The sequence below is a fragment of the Homo sapiens genome, chromosome 9 (assembly GCF_000001405.40).
Source record: "Homo sapiens chromosome 9, GRCh38.p14 Primary Assembly".
NCBI lineage: Eukaryota > Metazoa > Chordata > Mammalia > Primates > Hominidae > Homo > Homo sapiens.
This window is the reverse complement of record NC_000009.12, coordinates 64,339,119-64,345,118: the sequence shown is the minus strand read 5'-3', so window position 1 is coordinate 64,345,118 and position 6,000 is coordinate 64,339,119.

The following is a 6,000-nucleotide window of genomic DNA, read 5'->3' as shown; positions in this document are numbered from 1 at the left end:
AAACAGTATGGTACTCTCAATAAAAGGGGCGGGGGAGAGACAAGAGAGATGAACGAATGAGACAGACAGACATAGACAAGTGAAACAGAATAGAGAAATCATAAATAAATTCACGCGTTTACGGTCAATTCATTTTTAACAAAGGCCCCAAGAACACACCTTCGGGAAGGACAATCTCTTCAATAAACTGTACTAGGAAAACCCAACACCCACATGTACAAGAATACATCTAGGCCATTACCTTACCATATACAAAAATCTACTCAAAATAAAAGATTTAAATACAGGACCTGAAACTATGAAACTACCAGAGAAGAAAACATAGGATAAATGCTTCATGAAATTGGTTAGGACAAGGAATTTTCAAATAGACATCAAAAGCACAAGCAACAAAAGCAAAGATGTAATTACATTAAACTTAAAACCTTTTCCAAAGCAGAGGAAGCAATCAGTATAATGAAGACAGAACCCGAGAATGGAAGAAAGTCTTTGCAGCTATGCATCAGGCAAGAGGTTAATACACAAAATATCTAAAGAACTCAAACTACTCAAAAGTGAAAATACAAATAATCTTATTTTTAAAAATCTACCCAAAACTTTTGTCCCCCACTATTTCCCCACCTTCTTTTCCCGACCGCATTTCGCCCTCTCCCTCTCACCACCCTTTCTCTTCCTCCATCTACCCCCAAACGTTTTCACCGTTTTCTCCCCACCATCATTTCGTTTTCTCCCCGCCCCCGCCCCCGTCATTTCGCAAAGCCTTCTCTATTCTCCCGCTCACCACGCTTTTCCCCAACCATCTACCCAAACACTTTCTCCCGTTTTTTCCCACCGTATTTTCCCCCTTCTCCCTGGCCACCCTCTTTTTTCCCCCTCCTGCTGTCATCATGCCCTTTTCCTCCTCCATCTAAGCAAAAACATTTTCCCCCCGTCTTTTCCCAAAGCCTTTTCCCTACTCCTGCTGCTCACCACCCTCTTTTCCCCCTTTATCTACCCAAAAACTGTTTTCCTCATTGTCTTTCCTCCTGCTCCTCCTTGCCTCTCTTTCCCTTCTCCATCTACCCAAAAACATTTCCCCACCATCTTTTCTCAAAGCCTTCTCCCCACTCTTGCTCACCTCTCTCTTCCCCCCATCTACCCCCCAAAATTTCCCCATCTTTTCACAAAGTCTGCCCCCTCTTCCCACTCGTCCTCTTCTCTCCCCTATCCTGCTTGTCACCCTTTTTTTTGCCCTGCATCTATCCCAAACTATTTTCCCGTCTTTTTCCCACCCTTCTTTCCCTGCTCCCTTCTCGCCACCCTCCTTTCTCCTCCTCGTCACCCTCTTTCCCTCCTCCATCTACCCAAACACTTTTTACCTACCGTCTTTTCGCAACCATCTTTCTTTTCTGCCACTGTTTTTTCGCAAAACCTTGTCTTCCTCCCGCTAGTTACCCTTTTTCCTTCTCCCACTTGCTATCTTCTTCTGCTCCTCTATCTACCCAAAAACTTCTCTCCCCACTGTCTTTTCACAAAACCCTCTCTCCCTACTGCTAGCCCATTTCCCCCACCTCACCACTCTCTCCTCTCCCCAATTGCCACCATCTTTTCCCCCTTCATCCACCCATAAACTTTCTATCCACCGTCTTTCTGCAAAACCTTCCCTCACTCCAGCTCCACACCCTGTCTTTCCACCTCCATCTACCCAAAACCTTTTTTCCCCACCATCTTTTCCCCATCGTCTTTTTGCAACGCCTTCTCCTCCTCGCTATCCTTTTTTCCCTTTGGCAATAACCAAACTCTTTACCCACCCCTCTATCTATCCCAAAACTATTTTCCTCTTCCTACCCCTCCAGCCGCGCGGCAATCGCAATCTCCACTGACACCACCAACCATAGCGAGGCGAGCTGCGCCGCTGTGCCGTGTCTCAAGCCTCCAGCATACGGCCGGTGACTCCTTTTCCTGGTCCTCTAAGCTGGGCACTGAGCAGCTCAACAGTAAAACACCGAACCCTAAAAAAAAAAAACCGTAACAGCTTTTCAGCATCATTTATATACGGAGGTTATGCGCATGCCGGTTCCTAGACTTCATGTTCTGATTGCATGAGAGCAAGTCTTAAGATAACCAATCACAGCATGAAAATAAAGTCCAATCAGAGTAGGCCTAGAGGTTTTTCTCTCATCCAATCAGAACATGTAGTCCAGGATCCGTAACTTCAGTATATAAAGCGTGCTGAGGAAGTGGTGCGTCATTTTTGGGTCTTCTGTGTCGGTGTGCTCAGCTGCTAGGTACCTGGGTTAGAGAACTAGAAGGGTCCATTAGTTTTTACCCGCTGGAGCCTGGAGCCTGGAGCCTGGGGCGCTGCCTCCCTGTTGGTTGTGTTGGTGACGGAGCGGTAGGAGGGAGGCTAGCAGCGGGAGCTTCTCCTGCCGGGCTGGAAGACGAGGAGAAGGAAGAGACACCGCTGCATGCTGGAGGCTGGAGCCAGAGCCTGCGCCTCCGTGGCTTACCTCGCTGCAGCTGTTGGTGACATCAGAGACCACAGCTCGGCTACAGTGGTAGCAATGTGGTTGCAGTGAGCCAAGATTGCATCACTGCTCTGCAGCCTGGCGACAGAGCAAGACACCATCTTAAAAAAAAAAAATTGAACACAGTGTTTTGCATCTGTTTCAGAAAAACAAATGATACCATTATTTAATATGCTGCAGTAACTAGAAGCCTACTTATAAAGTTGGTGGCAAATAAGTCATTGGTATATGTTAACTTCCTATAATCACTTACATGTTCCTAAGAGTCACTTTGTGTATTTATATAAGAAGGTCAGCATGTAAATGATTATAGAGAAACTTTTTGTTGAAAAGTAAGAAAGCTTGTCTCCCTTTTCCTAGTGATGAAGGAACCACCACCACAACAAAATAAAGCATACACTTTGTTTATAACCCTGAATCATGATTTATGGCCAGATTATCCTAGCATCCAACTGCCTACCTTGGCATTTATCAGTTGAAATGAGTCCAGAGAAAGAATTTATAACAATAAGAATAACTGTTAGAATGCCAGTCCTATCAAGAAATGTTAGAAATATATAAGCAAAACTCAAAAGTAAATATCACTGTTTGTCTAACCATATTCCATGCATAGCTTCTACTAGTGTTCCCCAGAATTGTCTGTTTTATCATTTCTCTTGACTTTTGATACTTTTATTCATATATCCTCCATCCTCTCTTAGTCCTTACTGTTTGTACTTCGGCATCATATCAACCCTATCTTGCCACTTAAAAGACAAAGTAATACTACTTTTTCAGTTTTTTTTCATTTAATGTAAGAAGTTATCATTTCCCCAATAGTGAAATGATGCAAAATGATTATTTCATGTATTGTCCAAATGGGTTCAGGTTTGTGACAGTCTCAAACGCATCAGGGAGTAGGGACACCCTTCAGTTAAAGCACCAAGTTGTATTTTAATCTGTATTTTATTTTTAAAAAAGATTTTTTCTCAATATCACATAAACATTAAGCTTTTTATTTTACCTCTCTATTTACTTATTTACACGATTTAAGATTGAACATTTTTCGTTATCAAAAATATTTTCATAATATGTGTAAAATTGTTGAAATCTTAATTTTTCCAAAATGACAGCTGACTCCTCTTAAAGGTAATGGGAATCTTAGAATGTTATTTGCAAGTCAGTCTACAGCATTATTTTCATACATAAAATGTTGTGTACTAATTTTTGAAATATTTGTAAATTAAATAGGTCATTTTTCTTTCAGGAGAAAGGAGACTTTGAGAGATTTTTGTGCAGGAGAAGAGTAGTTTTAAAAATAGGTAGTTTGCAATAGGGCAGACTAGTTTTAAAATTCTAAAATGAGAACAAGTCAATAAGAGTCTCTTGATTAAATCTAGTGATCTTATTTATTTATTAATTGACATGTAATAATTGTACATATTCATGGGGTACAATTTGATACCTGGATACCTATCCATGTTGTACAATGATCCATTCAGAGTGAATCTATTATCTTACATATTTGTCATTTCTTTGTGGTGAGAACATTCGAAGACAACTCTTCAAGCTATTTTGTAATATACGATATTTCACTGTTAACCATACTTGCTCTACATGCAACAGAACACCAGAATTTATTGCTCTTATCTAGTTGTAATTTTATACCATCAATCAAAGTTTCCTCATCCTTCTTTTTGTCCTCCTGTCTTTAGTCTCTGGTAACATTTTTCTACTCTCTGCTTCTATGCTATTAACTTTTTAAAATGTTTGTATTTTCTTTTTTTTTTAGACTCCACTTATGAGTGAGATCATGCTGTACTTGTCTTTCTGTGTCTGGCTTATTTCACTTACCACGATGTCCTCTAGATTCATCCATATTGTCATAAATGGCAAGATTTTACTTTTTATGGCTAAAGAGTACTTCATTGTATACAGATAGTGCATTTTCTTTTTGCATTCATCTGTTGCCAGACACTTAGGCTTATTCTGTATCTTGGCTATCATACATAGTGCGCAATAAAAATGACTAGGTGCATCGCAATTAGCTTTAAAAAGATGGAACGGCATTGTAAGGACAGACCATGAATCTAAGCCCTTAGGCTGAATACTTAGGTTGAATAAAATTGTTGGAAGAAGTGGCTATTTGATGTATGTAATGAAAGGGATTCTTACATGGCAGGTATTATTAGGAGAAAAAAAAAAGAGAGAAAGTTGAAGGAGAGGGGAAAACTGCCACAGCAGGTTAAGCAACTTGCTTTGAAATAATTGGGATTAGTAAGTGTGCAGAGATAGAACTGGTGATGAAAGAGTGAGACTGGAATTAGAAAGTAATTTGTAATACTAATGTTGCAGGTTGGGTCCTGGTTATGAGACTAAGCAGATGCTCATTCCTTGGAGCTATAACTGTGACCAGTGCCACATTAACAGATTTGGAAAATATGAGATTAACTATGAAGGTACAGAAAATAAAGGTATTAAAATTCTTTCTATATTTTAGATCTAATTGTTAATAATATGGTATATACACATCCATACTATATTATATATATATATATATATATATAAAACATATGTATGCGAAAAGAGATGGTAAATAGAAAACATTAGCTGGGCATGGTGGCTTACACCTATAATCCCAGCATTTTGGGAGGTGGAGGCAGGAGGATACTTGAGCCCAGGGATCTGAGACTAGCCTGGGTAATATGGCAAGACCATGTCTCTACAAAAAGTAAAGAAAAGTAGCTGGGCCTGGTGGCACACACCTGTCATCAAAGCTACTCTGGAGGCTGAAGTGTGAGGATCACTTGAATTCAAGAGGTCAAGGCTGTAGTGAGCTGTGTTCCAGCCACTGCACTCCAGCCTGGGTGAGAGCACAAGACCCTGTCTAAAAAAAAGCAAAAGAAAAAAGAAACATTATTGAGGAGAAGAGATAAATAGAGTCTTAGAAATTTGAATTGATACATGAGTAAAGAATGACCCAATTATTTTATATCGGGAATGGGAAAATAAATTTTATTCAAGTCCACAAAATAGTTTTTAAAGCATAGACAATATAATACAGGGGTTGGGGGCGTGGTTACAACAATGTTAGAAACACTGAAAGAGCAAAAGGGGCCTGCTACTCCAGATGATGAGCAAATGAAGGAAGCCACTTCCATCCTTAACTGTGAAAAATGAGTAGGGGAAGGTGGTGCATTCTGGGTCCCATGATTCCAGACTGACCATTGGCCCTATTTGAGTGCAGCTGCTGTTAGGCAGAAACTCTGGACTCCAAACTCTCAGTAAAACTTCTGAAGACACTGCTGTTGCTATTGCAGCTGTCAGCACCATTGATTCAGCTGAGAAGAAGTCCAGAATATCACACTGACACCCACGCTGTTGGTTGTGTTTTTTTGAACCAGATTGAAATTAATATCTATTGTATGGTTCAATTTCTATGAAGTTCAATGTCAAGCAAATGTAATTTATAAAGATAAAAGTAAGAACAGTGGTTGCCTATAGTAATGATTGG